Source organism: Homo sapiens, chromosome 22, assembly GCF_000001405.40.
Source record: "Homo sapiens chromosome 22, GRCh38.p14 Primary Assembly".
Taxonomy (NCBI): domain Eukaryota; kingdom Metazoa; phylum Chordata; class Mammalia; order Primates; family Hominidae; genus Homo; species Homo sapiens.
In genome coordinates, this window is record NC_000022.11 from 25,100,529 (window position 1) to 25,119,985 (window position 19,457).

The window sequence follows — 19,457 nt, forward strand, 5'->3', positions numbered from 1 at the left end:
AGTTCCACCCAGCCGTGGGTTGTGTCACAGCTCTGCACATAGCAGATGCATGACTTGGACTAGTGATGTCATTGTCCAGAGCCTCTGTTGTCCCATCTGTACAATGGAGATTACAGCCTTCCTGGGTTATACCTGTCAACGAGGCAGTAGGGCGCACAGTAGGCCCTTGGTGAATGACAGCTACTGTGAGTTGAGACTATGCTTACTACAAACCCCAAGTAAAATAGTTGCACAGGCTAGGGATTGGGTCTTTGGCTTCCCTGCTATAGTACCTGGTTCATAGTAGACACTCAAGAAAGTGCCTGTTGAAGTCAGAAGGATGGGAGGGAGGAAGCAAGGAAAGAAGGCCAGAAAGGCCTTCTCATTTTTTCAATCTTTTATGATACTCATGGAGACCTTTATAATCTCGGAGTGTTGCTTAGAGGGCAGTTCAGCCAAGTAAAGCAAACTCACTGGTCAGAAATACATTGCTTAGGGGAGGTCATGTGTTCCTTATCCCATTTCTCATTTGTTGTTTCCCAAGAACATCTTGCTTTGTTTTGCTAACCGAGCCAACAGTATGGAACTTCAGTCGCTGTGGTGGAAAGAAACGTGTTGTCCAGCCCCAGGCAGTGTGGCCAAAGATACCAGCAGAGCTCCCCTCCTCTTTCCCAGGGTCTGATTGCCCCCAGAACCACCGGGTGGCCCAGGGAGATAAGTCAGGCAGGGGAATTAGGTGGGGGCCTGCCGCCTGCCTTTTTCCATTTTAGAGAAGGCCAGGGTTTGCAGCCTTGTAAGAGGCCTGGCTCTTGGAAGAGGGGCTGTAATTACAGATTGGCTTTGCCATGCCAGGCAGGGCCACATGGCAGACTCTCCACAGCATGGAAAACGCTGCTTTCTACTTGAGCTGAGGGTGGGGCCTGATAAAGAAAGGTGATGAGTTTCTGTCTGTTTCTAGAAAGATTTCCTTGCTAGATGATTTTTATTGATTGATTGATTGATTGATTGCTCATCCCAAGGTTAAAGACATCTTAGGTCACTAAAATGACTATTTGAAGAAGAATGTGATAAATTAACACAAGGAAATAATCTTGGGCTTGGTTTATAAATAATCTGGGATTGACTTGTAAAATCAAGTCATTTCTATTTTTTTTTCTTTTATCTGAATTCCTTTCCCTGTTGCCTTGGAAACAAGTCTCCCAAGAAGGATGTTTGGAGTCCTGTGACTTGGGTTCAAGCCTCAGTGATTCCTTCATCTCACACAGTGGGTACGATGAGAGCCTCTTCAGGATGTTGAGTGTCAAGGGTGGACAGGACACGTCCCTGCCGCCCACAGGCTCGGGACCTGGAGGGGAAGACTGATGGGTAAACCAAATTATGGCCAGGTAAACTGTGTGATTCGGTAGGGGTTACATAGGCAGAGTGGGACCCCAGAGGTGCCCCCTGCCCCCATGGATATAAGGAAACGGGAGGTGTCTCAGAGGCGGGAGTATCTAAGCTGAGCTGTGGTGGACTAGATGCTGGCCAGGTGAGGAAGGGGTGGAAAGGTGTCTTAGCCAGAGGGAACAGCATATGCAAAAGGCTGAACCAGAGATGTCATGGCACATTCCAGGATTAACATCTGTCCAGTTTGTTCAGGGTAGAAAGAAGCTGGGAAACAGGTAATATGTGAGGTTGCAGACGCTGTCAAAGTTCAGATCATGCACATTTCCTAGGAGATATCAGAGAGGGCGCCTGCTGCAGATGGACTGTGAGGCCTTAGGGCAGCCCTCGGTCTGGGCCTGTTTCTTCAGTTTAGTGGGAAGGTTGGCCTAGGTTGGTCCCTGCTGGTGTCTTGATTCTGACTGTCTAGGGTCCTGTGATTCATTTGAACAGTGAGATGATAGGAATTATAATAGAAAAACGATCATCCCTTGTGGTCACCATTTATTATTTTGTTGTTGTTGTTGTTTTGAGACAGAGTCTTGTTCTGTCGCCCAGGCTGGAGTGCAGTGGTGCCATCTCCGCTCACTGCAACCTCCACCTCCCGGGTTCAAGAGATGCTCCTGCCTCAGGCTCCCAAGTAGCTGGGACTACAGGTGCACACCACCATGCCTGGCTAATTTTTGTATTTTTAGTTGAGATGGGGTTTCACCATGTTGGTCAGGCTGGTATCGAACTCCTGGCCTCAAGTGATCCACCTGCCTCAGCCTCCCAAAGTGCTGGGATTAGAGGTGTAAGCCACTGCGCCCGGCCTTATTGAGTGTTAACTATGTGCCAGCGGCACAAATTATCTCAGTTGTTTTTTTTGTCACAACCTTTTGAAGGGGGTGGGCCTCATACAAGATGAGAAAACCATGACTCAGGCGATGCAGGCCTTACGCGGAAGCCCTGTGCCATCCGCTGCCTTCTGACTGACGGTGTTGCTCCACCTGAAAGAGAGAAAAAAGTAGGTTGAAGCTGAGTTCATGAGCCAGCCCTTCCCACACGTAGTCCTGGGAATTTGTCTCCAGGCCAGTCGACAAGAAAGGGAAACTAATGCAATTGGCAACTGGGCAAGCCCTTCTGAAGGCTTTTCCTGACCCTCACAAGAGGCCTGGGGAACAACCCAGGTAAGTGCAGAGAAATGAGGTGGTGAAAGGCTTTGGGATCAGACAGGTCTGGGTTCAAGTCCCAGAGCCCTCTTGCCAGCTCAGTGACCTTGGGCAAGTCCCCCCCCAACCGCCTTTTTTTTTTTTTTTGAGAACGGCGTCTCGCTCTGTCACCCAGGCTGGAGTGCAGTGGTGCAATCTCAGCTCACTGCAACCTCTGCCTCCCAGGTTCAAGCGATTCTCCTGCCTCAGCCTCCCGGGTAGCTGGGATTACAGGCACGCACCACCGCACCCGGCTAAAGACGGAGTCTTGCTCTGTTGCCCAGGCTGGAGGGCAGTCGTGTGATCTCAGCTCACTGCAAGCTCCGCCTCCTAGGTTCACGCTATTCTCCTGCCTCAGCCTCCCAAGTAGCTGGGACTACAGGCGCCTGCCACCACGCCCAGCTAATTTTTTGTATTTTTAGTACAGACGAGGTTTCACCGTGTTAGCCAGGATAGTCTCTATCTCCTGACCTCGTGATCTGCCTGCCTCAGCCTCCCAAAGTGCTGGGATTACAGGTGTGAGCCACTGCACCTGGCCTTTTTTTTGTATTTTTAGTAGAGATGGGGTTTCACCGTGTTAGCCAGGATGGTCTCAAATGCCTGACCTTGTGATCCGCCCATCGCGGTCTCCCAAAGTGCTGGGATTACGGGCGTGAGCCACCACAACCAGCCCAGGGCAAGTCCTTTTGGCTTTTTAAACCTCACTGGCCTCTGCAAAATGGGGAACATCACTAATACGACTCACGCTCAAGTGTTGTTTTGAGGGTTAATGAGGTGAGATGTGCAAGTAAACGTTTCCTGGGTACACAGTAAATCCTCCATTAGTGGTTATTATTTCCACTGTACCACCTTCTTTTTTGTTTGTTTGTTTTGTTTTGAGATGGAATCTTGCTCTGTTGCCCAGGCTGGAGTGCAGTGGCGCAATCTTGGCTCACTGCAACCTCGGCCTCCTGGGTTCAAGCGATTCTCCTGCCTCAGCCTCCTGAGTAGCTGAGATTATAGGAAACTGCCACCACACCCAGCTAATTTTTGTATTTTTAGTAGAGATGGGGTTTTGTCATGTTGGCCAGGCTGGTCTCGAACTCCTGACCTCAGGTGATCCACCCGCCTCAGACTCCCAAAGTGCTGGGATTACAGGCATGAGCCACTGCTCCTGGCCCCACCTTCTTTATTAACATAATATTAGTGTACCTCTTAGTCTAGGATGCACAGTCCTGGAATGTCCAATCTTTTAGGAAGCAGGATGTGAAGAGGGTCATATGAGTGGGACCTCCTGCGGGAGATCTGGAAAAAGCCGAAGGTTGTCTTGGAGGTGGGAGAGGAGGGGAAGGCAGCTGTAGGCAGGGATGCCACATGTCCAGAACTCCGAGGGCAAGACTGAACGTGCCCCGACTTCCTGGCCTTTGCACGTGGTGTTCTCAATTTCAGCCCTCTTGGAATACTCCTATTTATCCTTCAAAACCCCACCCAGATACCCTTCTTTTGATTGTAAGTCTTTAATAAGTGATCATTTCCCTGTGACCTTCTTTCCTCAACCTTTGAATTTCTTGGTTGGGGTTCACCCTCCCTATTATGTTCCCATAGCATGTTATTCACTTGTTCATCAGAACCCTTGGCAATTGTTCATTTTTTTTTTCCTATTTCTTTCTTCCACCAGACCAGGGATTCTTAAAATTATACATTTTTGTATTTGATTTTGGGGAGAAAATGGGATAGCCTCAGATTTGAGTTGGCCTTCCACCCTTAATGGCTAAGAATCAGATAGATACACTGAGCTCTTCAGAGACCATAGGTCCCCTCAAGCCCAACACTGAACTTGCAGAAAGTAACTGTCCAGGGAATGTTTGTTGAATGAATGAATGACCGACATATTCTGATTTCTTCTTTCTCTTTCTTTCTTTCCTTCCTTTTCTTTTTTTTTTGAGACTGAGTCTCGCTCTGTTGCCCAGGCTGGAATGCAATGGTGTGTTCTCAGCTCATTGCAACATACCTCCCGGGTTCAAGCAATTCTCCTGCCTCAGCCTCCCAAATAGCTAGGATTCCAGGTGCCCACCACCACTCCCAGCTAATTTTTACATTTTTAGTAGATATGGGGTTTCGCCATGTTGGCCATGCTGGTCTCAAACTCCTGACCTCAGAGAATCTACCCACCTGAGCCTCCCAAAGTGTTGGGATTACGGGCATAAGCCACCACGCCTGGCCCATTTTCTGATTTCTGAAATCACACGTGATTGTCTAGAAATGGCGATCTCTGTGTCTCGCCTCACATTGTAAAAGAAATTCCCATTTACTTCCTGGATCTCAGCAGCTTCTCCAGCATTTTTTGGATTAATTATGTAAGAAAAAGATGGTTTTCTTTCTTTTTTGATGCCCAAAACATCCCAAGAGTTTCCTGGAGAGAACAGAAGACTTTGCAGAAAAAGTCCTCTGGGGGGGAAAATGCTTGTGCTGCCCCAGTTTTCAGGAAGCGAAGCTTTTTATAGTCACACTTGCAGACCGCTCTGTACCTAAAGGAAGCCAGGAGGGAACAAGCAGGAATCTGGCTTTGTAGCTCACTTCTGCACCCCTCTCCCCTTTCTGGAAGGAGGCAGAACTGGATGATCCCACCTGCCATTTGGTCTCTGCTTTTCTGGGCGCTTGTCGCCATCCAGACTGATTTGGTGAGGGCCAGGATATATAGCTTGTCACAGGTATGAAGTTGGGGGGGGGGGGTGCCAAACTCCACCACTTAATAGCTGTGTGACCTTGTGTTGGTCATTTCACTTCTTTCTGCCGTGGTTTTTCCATCAGTAAAATGTGAGTGATAACCATATTAATAGTATCAGCCTCCTTTCATTGTTGGGAGGAGCTGATGGTGTAATACAGTGATGCAATGTAATGCCTGGCACATAGTAAGTGCTCAGTTAGCAGTAGTGATGGTGGTGATGGTGGTGGTGGTCTTTGGTCAGGTTCCCTAGAAGCAGAGACTGACATGAGGATTCTGGTGCAGTGATTCATTGAGGGAAAGCTCTCAAGCGAAACCCATAAGGAAGAAAGGGCAACAACTGGGGCAGGGGACAAAGCTAACTACAGATGTGGTTTCAGCTGAGCCCCAGCCTCAGCCCAGTCCCATGGGGACCCCTAGAGTGTGAATTGCATCACTGAGTTGGTGGTGCCTTGAGGCAAGGAGACCTGAGTGTTGTGTTCTGTATTGGTCAGTCATTGGCTGTGGGCATCTGGACATAGCCTTCAGTAAGGGCAGTTCTCCAGAGGAGGGTAGAGCTCTGAGCCTTTCGTAACCAGCATTCACAGCAGCTGACGTGTGTGTGTGCACCTTCTAGAAAAGGGGATCTTAGTCAGGGGAGGTACTAGCTGCATCGATGGAAATGATGAGTTTGATGACTTCATCTCTGAAAACCAGAGAAGTCAAGTAACTTGTTCACCGTCACACAGCTAATAAGAGCTATAGCTGGGTCTCCAAACCCTTAATCATGATGCTATACTTATTTAGCAAGGACGGGGTGGGTCTAGAATAAGGCAAGTGAGGTGCTCACATAGGGCACAAAATTGGGGGACATCAAGAAAAGTCACTGATCACTGAATAATATTTCAATTGTTTTTAAAAAATTAAAATTAATGCAAAAATTTGTGATGAGAAAGGAATCAGAACTATAAATAAAAACAGGATGAGTATTACTTATTTTTTTCCTTTTGCCTCTGGCGCCAGCATGGCTTGCACTGCACTGAGCAAGTCCCTTTTTGAATAATTAGGTTCTTACACCTTTTCATCATTATCTATGTGACTGTGATGAACATTCTTATAGCAAAATGTTTGTATATTATTATTGTTATTTCCAAAGGAATTCCTGTGTGTGGAACTGGATCACTAACTATAGGGTCAAAAGTTGGACACAGTGCCCCCCCACCCCAACCTTTTGTTATGAAAATGTTCAAACATATAGAAAAATTATATAGGAAAACACCCATCAGCTAGATTCTATAAAATTTGCTATGTGGCTGGGGTGCGGTGGCTCACACCTGTGATTCCAGCACTTTGGGAGGCGGAGGGGGGCAGATCACGAGATCAGGAGATCAAGACCATCCTGGCTAAAATGGTGAAACCCCCCCATGACCAGGTGTCTCACAGGAAACTTAAAAATACAAAAAAATTAGCCGGGCGTGGTGGCAGGCACCTGTAGTCCCAGCTATTCGGGAGACTGAGGCAGGAGAATGGCGTGAACCCAGGAGGCGGAGTTTGCAGCAAGCTGAGATCACACCACTGCACTCCAGCCTGGGCAACAGAGTGAGACTTCGTCTCAAAAAAAAGTGCTATGTGTGCTTTATAAAAATGTAGCCATCCATCCATGGCACTTTTTTTTTTTTTTTTTTTTTTTGAGACAGGTTCTCACTCTGTTGCCCGGGCTGGAGTGCAGTGGTGTGATCACAGCTCACTGCAGCCTTAACTTCCCAGGCTGAAGCAATCCTTCTACCTTAGCCTCCAGAGTACTGGGACTACAGGGTTCAAACAATCCTCCCACCTTGGGTTCCCAAAGAGCTGGGATTACAGGTGTGAGCCACAGCACCCAGCACTCCATTTTTTGTGTGTGTGTGCATTTCAAAATAAATTATTGGCCGGGCATGGTGGCTCATGCCTGTAATCCCAGCACTTTGGGAGGCCGAGGTGGGCGGATCACTGGTCAGGAGTTCAAGACCAGCCTGGGCAACATGGTGAAACCCCGTCTCTACTAAAAATACAAAAATTAGCCAGGCGTGGTGGTGCACACCTGTAATCCCAGATACTCGGGAGGCTGAAGCAGGAGAATCGCTTGAACCCAGTGGGAAGAGGTTGCAGTGAGCTGATATCACGCCATTGCACTCCAGCCTAGGTGACAGAGCAAGACTTTGTCTCAAAAAAAAATTATAGATATCAGTACATTTCAGCTGTACATTTCAATATGTATGTCATTAACTGGCAAGCCATTATTTTTTAAGACTTTTGATTTAGGGTGTTAAATTTCTTCCAGGAAATATATATCAGTTTTCATGTCCATCTGCTGTGGACATATGTGTCTTGTTTCACCACAACCTTGACAACACTGGGTATGATCATTTTAAAGGTGTTTTACTTTCTATTTTGATTTAACATTTTTCCTCCTGAGGACCCCAGTGGATTTCCCACCCCGATGTCCAGATGGTCTGTTAAAAAGCTGTGTGCCATTCCAGCTTTCTAGGTATTTCTGGTGTGACTTTTCTGGGGCCAGCGGGGAGGACTCAGCTCTTTCTCAGGTCTGTTCCTGTTTCCACTCTGGACGTCCTGGGCCTGCGTAATGAGGGAGCAGACCATGAAGAGGACTTCATGGTGTAGGAGCTCACTATGGGCAATCTGTGTGGGGAAAATGGACAAACTTTGGAGGCCCACTTTGGATGCCAGAAGTCCTGGGACCTAGGAGGCTGCATGTGGTGGAGGGTGGAGCCAGGCACTCATGGAAGTGCGACCTAGCCCTGTGTATGTTTCCTGTGTATGTTTCCTCACCTGCATGGTGGAGTAATACTTCTGGATATATCAATGTAAGGTATATAGGCTGCTGCAAGAGCCCCCCACCCCATCTTTGCCTTCAATCTTCAGTTTTCTCATGGACCAGTTACCTACTTGCCTCTGGGCACTTGTATCTCTGTGATGTCTATGGGCCAGGAATTTGGGAGCAGTGTGGCTGAGTGACTGTGACTTGGAATTTCTTATGACGTTGTACTCAAGATACTGGCCAGGTCTACGGTCAGCTAAGGGTTTGACTAGAGATGGAGCATCTGCTTCCATAGTGGCTCACTCACATGGCCAGCAACTGGTGCTAGCTGTTTGCTGGGGGCCTCAGATTCTCTCCATGTGGGTTTCTGTGTGTGACTGCTTGAGCATCCTCACAACATGGCGGCTGGCTTTCCCCAGTATGACCTCAGAGAAGAAGGTAGAAACCATGATGCCTTTTATGACCAAGCTTTAGAAGTCCTACACTATCACTTCTTTTTTTTTTTTTTAGACGGAGTCTCACTCTGTCACCCAGGCTGGAGCGCAGTGGTGTGATCTCAGCTCACTGCAACCTCTGCCTCTCGGGTTCAAGCGATTCTCCTGCCTCAGCCTCCCAAGTAGCTGGTATTACAGGTGCCTGCCACTGTGCCCGGCTAATTTTTGTAGTTTTAGTAGAGACGGGGTTTCACCATGTTGGCCAGGCTGGTCTTGAACTCTTGACCTTGTGATCCACCCGCCTCGGCCTCCCAAAGTGCTGGGATTACAGACATGAGCCGCCGCACCTGGCCCATCACTTCTTCTTTACTCAGACGTGAGCCACCGCGCCCGGCCCATCACTTCTTTATTCTGCTAACCACACGGACCAACCTTGATTCGTTGTGGGAGGGGACCACACCAGGTTATGAATAAAAGGGGGCAAGGATTACTGATGGTCATCTTGGAGGACATCTATCAGCCATAACCTTGGTACATGATTTCACCTCTGTGGATCTCAGTCTCCTCTGTCAAATGGGTTCATGCAAAAAAATTCATTAGTTGATTCCTGTGAATGCTTAGAAATGGTGTTGGACATTTAGTTACCTCTTGATAAATATTAGCCACCACTGTCATCCCCTGCTGGGCTGTGAGCCCTCTGCTCTTAATCTCTATGCAGTGCCTGGCTCAGAGTAGGCACCCTCTGAATCTTTATTAAATGAATGAATGAAAGAATGAATGAGGCTGGATGTGGTGGCTCATGCTTGTAATCCCAGTACTTTGGGAGGCTGAGGCAGGTGGATCGCTTGAGTCTAGGAGTTCGAGACCAGCCTAGACAACATGGTGAAACCCTGTCTCTACAAAAATTACACACAAAAAAAAATTAGCTGGGCATGGTGGCACATACCTGTAGTCCTAGCTACCGAGGAGGCTGAGGTGGGAGGATCGCTTGAGCCTGGGAGGCCAAGGCTGCAGTGAGCTGTGATCATGCCACTGCAGTCCAGCCTGGGCAACAGAGTGAGATCCTGTATCCAAAAAAAGAAGAAGAGAGACAGGGAGAGAAAGAGAATGAATAGCTGTAAGGACTGGGAATACATAGAAAAGAAAGAGATCTGTTGGCCATATTGCCAGAGAGTCCTTTGTGATAAACTTTCTCAAGTGAGGCCCTTTGACCAGTGTCTAGAAAACAAATATTTGTTCAAAACTGAAGTGAGGTGGTGGTGGAAAGGACATAGGATGCATTCTGAGCGACCTGGGTTTCAATTGTGTACTTGGTGTCCGAACAATAAATATTTACAGAGCCCTGACTCTGGGCCAGGTACCATGTCAGACCTGGGAAAACCTGGGGTGGGAGCAGCTCTGGTGCATGCCTGGTGACATCCTTGCTGTGTGACCTTGGGCAAGTGAATCTATGTCTCTGAATCTGCATTTCCTTGTCTGTAAAAGTAGTGGGGTTGGGGGGACATGGATCCCTGCTAGAAGGAGAAACCTCCTTTAACAGGTGTGCCTGACCTCCAGGATCCAGCTGCTGCCCACCCCCTTCTAACAACCCCTGACATGTTTGGGATCTCCAGGCAGAGGACAGAAAACCTGCATGGGTCAGATGAGCGGGGCCTGGCCGAGGACAGTGGGTGTTAGGGTCTAGTCGTACCCCCAACCCCTAGTACTCCAGCCCTGTAAGGGTTAAAACCCAGGGAGCTCACGTGACCTAGTGTAAACCATGAATCATTCCCATTGCTCCCAGTGCTGAGCCTGCTGCCCAGGACAGGGCAGATGCTGTGCCCCGGGTTGCCATGGCAACTCCGCCTGTACTGAAATACAGCCCTCCCCAGTCCTTCCTGGGGGACCTCAGAGGCTGTCTCACCTGGATCAGTGTTGCCTTCCAGAGAGGGAGGGAGAGACAGCTGAAAAGGAGAGAGAGAGGAGAGACGCTTAGAGACAAGCAAGTGGAAGTTGAGACACAGGGAGAGGGAGGAGAGCGAGGCTGAGAAATCAACAGAGAAACAGACCACGAGAGGGAGACAGACTGACAGCCGACCAGAGGTCCCAAGACGCTGCCTGTAACCTTAGAGGCAGAAGCCGTTTCCCAGCAGTGCTAACCTTCCCGGGGCTGCCAGATCGCCGACATACACGCACACACACACAGAGTGCACACACATGCACACACGTGCAGCCGCATTTCCTGGTGCGCTTGCTGTGAGGGCACAGGGGTGGGTAGGCTGGCAGGCACGTGAAGTTGCCATCAGCCCCGAGGGACCGTGAGCGAGTTGGGACTTGGGGGAGAAAAAAATGGGGGCGGACGTCAGCTCCCTGGGCGGCCGCCGCCACCGCCTCCGCCTCCCCGAGGCCCCTCCTGCATTCCTGGGCAGCGAAGCCCCTCGCTAAGACGGGGGCTGATGTCATCCCGGGCTGCTCAGCCAGGGGACCCGGGGGCCCTGGTGGCTGCCTCCGGAAGTGAGCTAGCCGCCTGCCGGCCGACAGGTTTGGAATCTCCAGCCAGAGGACAGAAAACCTGCATGGGTCAGGTGAGCGGGGTCTGGCCGAGGGCAGCCGGGCAGGGGGCAGCAGGGTGCGGCAGCTTGCCCACCGGAACCTCCCAGGGTGCACCTCAGGGGGGCTGCCTACCTGAAGGGAAGTGAGGACGAGGGTGCCCAAAGGCCGCCCCCTCCACCCCCACCCCCATCCCCATCCCCCGCCTTTCGGGACCGTCACGCCCTGGAGTGAGTGCAGCCGGCTTGTTCCTCAAAGCTCCTTGTCTCGGCCGATCAGCTGGGTGAGCCCTGGAACTGGAACCTGGACTGCCCAGTGTGTTGACTTTATAACTCCGCTGGGGTGGACTCCCAGCCTGGCACTTAGCTGCCTCTTAATTCTGAGCGGCACCCGTGGATGCAGCCGGCTCCTGGCTCAGGGATGTTTACTTACCCTTGGTTTGCCTGAAGAAAGCTGCTGTTTTTAATTTTTTTTCCTCCAAGCAAGCCCAAAACTTCCATGAGCAAAAGAGTCCAAAGAGGCAAGAGGACACTGGCGTTTTAATTGCTCTCTCCCTCCCTAACTTCCTTCTTCCCTCTCCTCCTGGCTGGCCCCATGGATTACCTGGGAGATAAACTCACAGTGGCCCAGACCCACATGACCCAGTGGATGGGCACCGTGAGGAGGTCCTTCCAGGAAGCCCTCAATTTGGTGACCACCACGGTGGGCCACGAACGGACGAGTGCAGAGTCGGCCAGCCGGACCCCCTTCAAGCGTACTTCCTCCTTCCGACACCTGGCTTCCCGGAGTCGGGAATCCTTCCGCCGCTTCTCTGCTCGCAGCCAACAGAGATTTTCTTCACTGAGGAAAAGGCATACAGATTCGGAACCGCCAGATATTGTAAGCTTATTATGTTTTAAAAAATATTAAAACAACACTGAAAGCTCCTCCCCTCCAGTCCTCCCAGGGAGGGGGTCCCAGACATCAAACCGGGGAAGTTACTTCTTCCAGAATAGTTGTCAGTCAAAGCCCAGGCACTTCCTGTCCCCTGTACCTGGGAAAGAGGCACGTAGCAATAATTCCTCTCTCCTGAAGTCAGTCAGGACATTTTTGCTGGAGTCGACGTCTGTGTGGACAGGGCCAGCACGTGAGTTGGGCTGAATTTGCCAGTTGATTTATGTTTAAGTGTGAACACCCCAACCCCCGACACGAAAGCTCATCCTTCTCCCTATTTTTAGGGTGGATTAGTGGCACCTGCCTCATCTCCTCTCACCCTCCTAGGAAGCACAAGTGGCGGTGTCATGTGCACGCTGAGTTGTAGCTTTTGTCGTTCCACCGAGCTTTCATTGGATTGCCAAGGAAAGGGTCTTAGGAGACCGAGGTGTGGTGGGCGAGTTTGCCCGCTGGCCGTGAACCTTGGGTTTGGTGTGAGTGGGCCAGGGAGGGAGGCCTTGATTTCTTACTCAGGCAGGCTCGGGAGGGCTTGGATTGGGACAGCAGGGTGGAATGACAGCTAATGATTAAAACCTTGGCCTGTGTCCTGCTAGGCGACAGTGCAGAAACAATCGTAAGGTCCTTCTGATGATTTGGAGAGGTGGGACTGGGCCCAGAAAGCGAAAGTGCCTACTGTGGGGGAAGCACAGTGAGTGAGTGGCAGAGCCAGGTCCCGAACCCCAGGCTCTGACCTCCCCATTCACGGCTCTTTGCAGTCCAGCTCCCAGCAGATGTTCTCCCCAGACCCTCCCAATTAATTCAGGGCTGCCCAGGTCACTGACCAGACCTGAGCCTAAAGAGAGGGCCTGCCATTTTCACATAGGAGACTTCTGCCACCTGACTGTGTTGGCCCAGTTTATGGGAGCACTTGAGGACAGGCGAAGGGCTAAGCCAGCCCCTTTTTCTGGGTTCCTCCTAGCCAGGAGTGCTATAGTCATTAAGGGACCCAGCATTTAGGGAGGAGCCCTGAGCTGGCCCTCCCTACACTCGAGGTGGCAGGGCTCACAGCTGCCCTGCCAGGTGCAGGGGCTCAGTATCCCCTCTGCTGACCCAGAGGTGTGACTCACCCCAGGTCACGCAGCAGCCAGAGCAGGCAGTTGCAAATGCAAGGCAGGAGCCGAGCACTTGGGCATGACACGTGTCTCGTTCACAGGACGTCTCCTTCACAGTGGGTCTGTGCTTCTTTGTGGCCCAGAACAAATTAGTGGGGCTTGGATTTATGAGACAGATTCCCCAACCTCTGGAAGGTGTGACTTGCCACAGGGAAAGAAGGCCCCTCATTCATTCTGTCTCCCTCTGTGTGTATCTCTGTCTCTGTGATGTGTCTTTCTGCCTTGCTCTGTCTCTGTTTGTTTCTCTGTCACTCCTGTTCTCTCTCAGGGTATGGGGTTGGTGACAGGCAGGCTCTGTTGGCATCCCTCTTTCCCCACCCTGGGGAGTGGTGTGACCATGGGCATTGGCATGAATCCCCTAGGCGTCTTACCCTGTGTTACAGGTTGGTGCCACTGGCAGGAGTGGCCTCTCCAGCTGGTTGAATAAATGAAGTTGGGTGGTGCAGAGAACCATTCCGTGTTGCGTCGAGATGCCACCAAGAGTGTAAATACATGCTAAATACATTCAAGCTTCAGGCTCCTTCCCATGTAGCCACCCTACTGGGTGGTAGGCACCAGCTGGCCTTGGCCTTGACAGCTTGAATCAGACTCCTGGCTGAGGAGCCCTGACCCATTCTTAAGCCTCAGTTTCTTCCTGTGTCCAATGAGGAGAACCAAGGCCTTGGTATGAGATTGAAGCAAGCCCCCAGCACAGTGCCAGGCACACAGAATCTGCACACTTGTGAATGCTCTCTCTCTGTTGCTTGCCTAGATACTCTGCCTGAGCAGGATAAAGGCAGAGTTAGGATAGGAACATGTGCAGTGTTGCAGATAAGTCAACGAAACGCAAGGCCAGGGACCCCCTGCCTAGGGGTTGAGTCCTGGCTCTGCCGCTTCCCAGCTGTGTGATCTTGGACAGACTCCTTCCCTCTCTGTGCCTTGATTTCCTCCTCTGTGAAATGGGGATGATCGTGCATTGATGTGCTGGTAAATGTGTGGTGAGCGTGGCCGTTCTTAGCTTGTGGTGCTTAAAAATTAGTTCTTGTGGCAACCAAACCTTTCCTCTCAAACCATCACTTCAAAGATTTTCAATGAGCTGGAAAACCCACACACGCCCTTTTTACTCAGGGACTTCACTTAAATATTCGTTTTATGGGAAGAAACTTTTTAAAGCCACAGACAATTACTTAAGAGTTTGGGACAACAGCAGTATCCGTGGCTGGGGCTGGGAGGGGGCAGGATTTTAGTCTTTCTGACCTTGTACATGATTTATCTAAATAATCCATTCATTTCATCCTGGTTCCTGCCTCCGGCTTGTATTTACTCAGAGCAGTGTAGAAGAATCTATTGCGGGCACAAAATAACCCTCAAAGGCGTGCCCTGAAATGTTTTCTAAAGCCAGCCTTGAAGTAATTTGCTAATGGCCTGCCTGCTTCTGTGTCCAAGGGATAAAAGGGGGAAAGAGGGAAAACAAATGCTTTGTCTCTGAGCCACAAAGGCAGGAAGAGGCACGTTTATGCTGCACTCCCATGTGAGCCTGAGAAACACGCCTGGTACTCCAGGTTTAGCCGAGGAGACAAGGTGGACTCCAGTTAGAGGCCAGACAGAAAATTCCAGAACCCAGGAACAATGGCAGTGGCACAGGGGCCAAGACTGGAATAAAAGCGGGAAGTGGGGGGTCTCTGAGGCCATGGGGTGCCGCACCAAGGAGGGCTTTGGAGTCAGACAGACTTAGGCCTGAGTCTCAACTCACCACGTGCAAACTGAGTGACCTTGGGCAGCTTAAATCACCTCTTGCAGCCTCAGTGCCCTCATCTGAAACATGGAGATTCAGCTGGGACTTGTCTGGTGGGTGGTTCAATGGGACAGAGTGGACTAAGAGCAAGCATAGCCCTGGCATGCAGGAGGTGCTGAATAAATGTTCGTTCCACGTTGCTTTTTGGGGGGCTCAGACTGTAATGTGAGTCCTACCTTCCTAGAAGGCTAGACTGGTGCCTCAGGGAAGCAGAGTAAGAGCCTGATCAACCTGTGTTTGTATTTACTGTGTGCAGGGCTCCATGCTAAGCATCAGGTGCATATAACTTGCATGTCTTCATTAATTCACTCATATTTTCATTCAACCAGTATTTATTTTTATTTATTTATTTAGAGACAGAGCCTCACTTTGTCACCCAGGCTGGAGTGCAGTGGCACAGTCTCGGCTCACTGCAACCTCCACCTCCCAGGTTCAAGTGATTCTCCTGCCTCAGCCTCCCCAGTAGCTGGGATTACAGGTGCCCTCCACAACACTGGCTAATTTTTGTATTTTTAGTAGAGACAGGGTTTCACCATGATGACCAGGCTGGTCTCGAACTCCTGACCTCAAGTGATCCACCCGCTTCAACCTCCTAAAGTGCTGGGATTACAGGCATGAGCCACTGTGCCCAGCCTATTTTCATTTACTTATTTTGAAGACAAGGTCTTGCCCTGTCACTGGAGCTGGAGTGGAGTGGCACGATCATAGCTCACCACAGCCTCGATACCCTGCGTTCAAGCCATCCTCTCACCTCTGGAATAGCTGGGACTACAGGCATGTGCCACCACACCCAGCCATTTTTTTTCTTTTGTGTAGAGACAGGGTCCTGCTATGTTGCCCAGGCTGGTCTTGAGCTCCTGGCCTCAAGTGATCCTCCCACCTCAGCCTCCCAAAGTGTGGGGATTGCAAGCATGAGCCACTGTACCCCACCCCCTCCACCAGTATGTATGTATGTATGTATGTATGTATGTATGTATGTATGTATGTATGTACGTATTGAGATGGAGTCTTGCTCTGTCCCCTAGGCTGGAGTGCAATGGTGCAGTCTTGGCTCACTGCAACCTCCGCCTCCTGGGTTCAAGCAATTCTCCTGCCTCAGCCTCCTGAGTAGCTGGGACTGCAGGCGTGTTCCACCACACCCGGCTAATTTTTGTATTTTTAGTAGAGACAGGGTTTCACCATGTTGGCCAGGCTGGTCTCGAACTCTGGCCTCAGGTGATCCACCCACCTCAGCCTCCCAAAGTGCTGAGATTACAGGTGTGAGCCACCACACCTGGCCCCCTCAGTCAGTATTTACTGAGTATCTACCACAACTCTGGTGCAGGAGAAATGGCTGTGAACGAAAGAGACAAAACTCCTGCCTTCACAGAGCTGCCTTCTAGTGAGGCTGATAATAAAACACATCAGAATGTAAATATGTCATATATGTGCTGAAAATGAGAGAACTATCTTAAAATATCAAGGGTCTGTCTTTAACCTCAAACTATTGCTGTATATTAGAGTTTCTCAGCCTCAGCTCTAATGATATATTGGGCTACATAATTGTTTATGGCTGTGGGGGGTAAGGGGTAGAGTCTGTGCATTGTAAGCTTATCCCTGGTTCCTACCCACTAGAAGCCAGTAGCATCCCACAGTTGTGACAACCAAAAATATCCAGACATTGCCAAGTCTCTTGGGGGCAGAATCACAATGCCCCCTCCCAGCCCCCATCCAGGTTTGAGAACACTGTCGTATATAATGTGGTGTGGGGCACAATAATTGTAGCTGGGGTATATTCTCCCAGTGACTTAAATATGGGGAGAAGGGCAGGGATCCCACATCCATGAGCCTCTCCTGCTTGCCAGGAACCACACAGCTGCCCCTGTGGGGTATAGCCCCATACTTTGTGAATGGAGAAATCTGAAGCACAGAGAGGGGAAGTCACAGGACTGGGGATCCATGAAGTGGGGACTCCATCCAGCATGTGTCGGCCTTGCTGGGAGCATGACCACACCCTGCACTGGGGATTCACTATTAAACATCGGCCCCAGAGCTGAGCGTTCAGTCCTCCAGCCCAAGGCCGAGTGGGAGTATTTGCTTCTGTGTTAATTATGGACTGTAATGGAGGCTTAAAATATTCAGCAGGGCTCAGCATCTCCCCCAACCACACACACACACACACACACACACACACACACACACACACACACACACACAGACACACTGCTTCAGCAAGTGGGGGAGAATTGCAAGGAAAGGATGTATAGAACTCCTGCCTTCAGAAGCTGCATTTCAGCCCCATCTCCATCAGTACTCTCTCCCTACTGGGGTCCTCCGGCTCTGTAACAAATTACCACAAACTTGGTGGCTTAAATTAATATAACTTCATCTCTCACAGTTCCGGAGTCCAGAAGTCCAAAATCAAAATGTCAGCAGTCGGCCGGGTGTGGTGACTCACCTGTAATCCCAGCACTTTGGGAGGCCGAGGCGGGCGGATCACCTGAGATCGGGAGTTCAAGACCAGCTTGACCAACATGGAGAAACCCCATCTCTACTAAAAATACAAAATTAGCCCAGTGTGGTGACGCATGCCTGTAATCCCAGCTACTCAGGAGGCTGAGGCAGGAGAATTGCTTGAACCCGGGAGGTGGAGGTTGCAGTGAGTCGAGATCACACCATTGCACTCCAGCCTGGGCAACAAGAATGCAACTCTGTCTCAAAAAAAAAAAAAAAAAAAAAAATGTCAGCAGTCAACGCCTCCCTCCAGAGGCTCTAGGGGAGCATCCTTTCTCACCTCTTCCAGCTTCTGGTGGTTCCAGGCATTCTTTGGCTTGTGGCCACATCACCCCAATCTCTGCCTCTATCTTCATGTCACTATCTCCTCTTCTCTGTCATCTCCTTTCCTGTCTCTGGTAAGGACACTTGTCCCTGAACATGGGAGCCTCCTGGATTACCTAGGATGATCTCACCTAGGATGATCACCTCAACCTCCCAAGTAGCTGGGACTACAGGTGTACACCACCACACCTACCTAATTTTTTTGTATTTTTAATAGAGACAGAGTTTTACCTTGTTGCCCAAGGTAGTCTCAAACTTCTGGGCTCAAGGGATCCACCTACTTCAGCCTCCCAAAGTGCTGGGATTACAGACGTGAGACACTGCATCCAGCCAACGTATCTTTTTAGGGGCCACTGTCAGCCCCCCACACACTCCCCACAGCTTACACTCTGGCCCCTCCCATCCAGTCCATTCTCCTCCCAACAACCCAAGAGATCAGGTCATTCCCCTGCCTCACCCCAGACTTAGATGCCCAGTTTTCCTGTGCGACCTGGCCCTGCCTCCCTGCTAACATCAGCTCCTACCTCTGTCCTTTATGCTCACTCTGACCTTGCCCCTCTGACCTCCTGCTCTTCGTCAGTCACCCCCTGCTCCTTCCAGACGCCAGGACTTTGCCATCACCATTCCCTCTGCTGAAATGCCCTTGCCCTCTCTTCACCTCTGCAGAGAGGCTTCCCGACGTTCCAGGCTGTGGTGAACTCCCTGCGTTTCCCTGCACCCATCCTACATTTCTTCCTGGGACCTATCTCATTCTATACTTATTTCATGTCACTTGTTCCCTGGTTTATTCTCTGACTCCTCTACTAGGATGTAAGGTCCATGAGGGCCAGGGCTTTGGCCGTCCTGGTTCACCTTGATATTGCCAGTACCCAGAACAGTGGCTAGGAGCTCACAGAGTATCTGCCTTCCTGAAATCCACTGTCCTTCATTCTTGTGTCCACCCTGTGACACCACCTCCATATTATAGATGGGTAAACTGAGGCCTGGAGAGGATAAGTGACACAGCCCTGGTGTACACCTCTTAAGAGATGACAAGAAGTGTACGGCCACATCACCCTGAATGCTCCCAGTCTCATCTGATCTCAGAGTTGACGCCAGGATTCTAGTCCAGGGAGGCCTGGAGTTCTTTCCCTGTAGAGGGCAGGATGGAAAATCTGAAGTATAATGGTAATAAAAACCACTCATTCATTCATTAGGAATTTTTAATTGAGTACCTGTTTTGTACCAGATACTGTGCTCAGTAGAGGAGAAAACAGGCAGGGTCTTTGCCCTCATGGGACTCATAGGAGCAGGGAGACACATTAAACAATTAAGTAAACCAATGAATGAACAAAGAAAGTACTCTCAGATAATGGTGAGGGCTCTGAAGAAAATGTAACAGGGCATGGGGACCCATGGGAGTGTATTTTAGGAACAGTGGTCAGGAAAGTCTTCTCAGGAGGTGACATTGGAGCAGAGACCTGCATGAGTGAGGGGATGAGCCCCAGAAAGTTTGGAGGGACATTGGGACAGCAGGAAAGGCAGTGCAAAGGCCCTGAGGCAGGTTCGTGCCTGGTGTGTTTGAGGAGCAGCAAGGAGCCCAGAGTGACTGGAGCAGCACAAGTCAGTGGGAGAGGTGAGCTCAGAGAGGTGGGCCAGGGGCCAGGCCGGATAGGGCCAGGGAGGGGGATTCTGATAGGATGTCAGATTTTAGCATTGGAGGGTACTGAGCAAGGGAGAGCTATATC

General features: G+C 50.3%; 1 protein-coding gene and 1 long non-coding RNA gene across 10 annotated transcripts in view, besides 2 other annotated features; one reads left to right on the forward strand and one right to left on the reverse strand.

The window, feature by feature from the left end:
* Nucleotides 1-19,457, forward strand: part of KIAA1671 — a 244,733-nt gene that overhangs the window by 147,813 nt on the left and 77,463 nt on the right. The window contains exon 1 of one of the 9 annotated variants that reach the window (NM_001386934.1): nt 10,615-11,934. The exons of 7 other annotated variants lie outside the window; for them this stretch is intronic. In NM_001386934.1, the coding sequence (NP_001373863.1) occupies nt 11,650-11,934 (285 nt within the window). In that variant the 5' untranslated portion in view covers nt 10,615-11,649. Of the gene's footprint in view, nt 1-10,614; nt 11,935-19,457 lie in introns of those variants that run through there. One more of the 9 variants, XM_047441557.1, reaches the window with a different exon arrangement.
* On the reverse strand, nt 1,889-12,164 carry KIAA1671-AS1 (KIAA1671 antisense RNA 1). The gene is made up of 5 exons (NR_038941.1): nt 12,089-12,164; nt 11,659-11,895; nt 10,430-10,469; nt 9,473-9,590; nt 1,889-2,390 (listed from the first exon to the last, which is right to left on the reverse strand). It is a non-coding gene; the product is annotated as a KIAA1671 antisense RNA 1 (long non-coding RNA).
* Nucleotides 10,119-10,981: an enhancer, noted in NCBI's record as "H3K27ac hESC enhancer chr22:25506614-25507476 (GRCh37/hg19 assembly coordinates)". NCBI's record gives its function as "activates a minimal SCP1, AML or CMV promoter by ChIP-STARR-seq in primed H9 embryonic stem cells {active_cell/tissue: H9 hESC(primed)}" and the evidence as "EXISTENCE:reporter gene assay evidence [ECO:0000049][PMID:30033119]".
* Nucleotides 10,982-11,843: an enhancer, noted in NCBI's record as "H3K27ac-H3K4me1 hESC enhancer chr22:25507477-25508338 (GRCh37/hg19 assembly coordinates)". NCBI's record gives its function as "activates a minimal SCP1, AML or CMV promoter by ChIP-STARR-seq in naive and primed H9 embryonic stem cells {active_cell/tissue: H9 hESC(naive and primed)}" and the evidence as "EXISTENCE:reporter gene assay evidence [ECO:0000049][PMID:30033119]".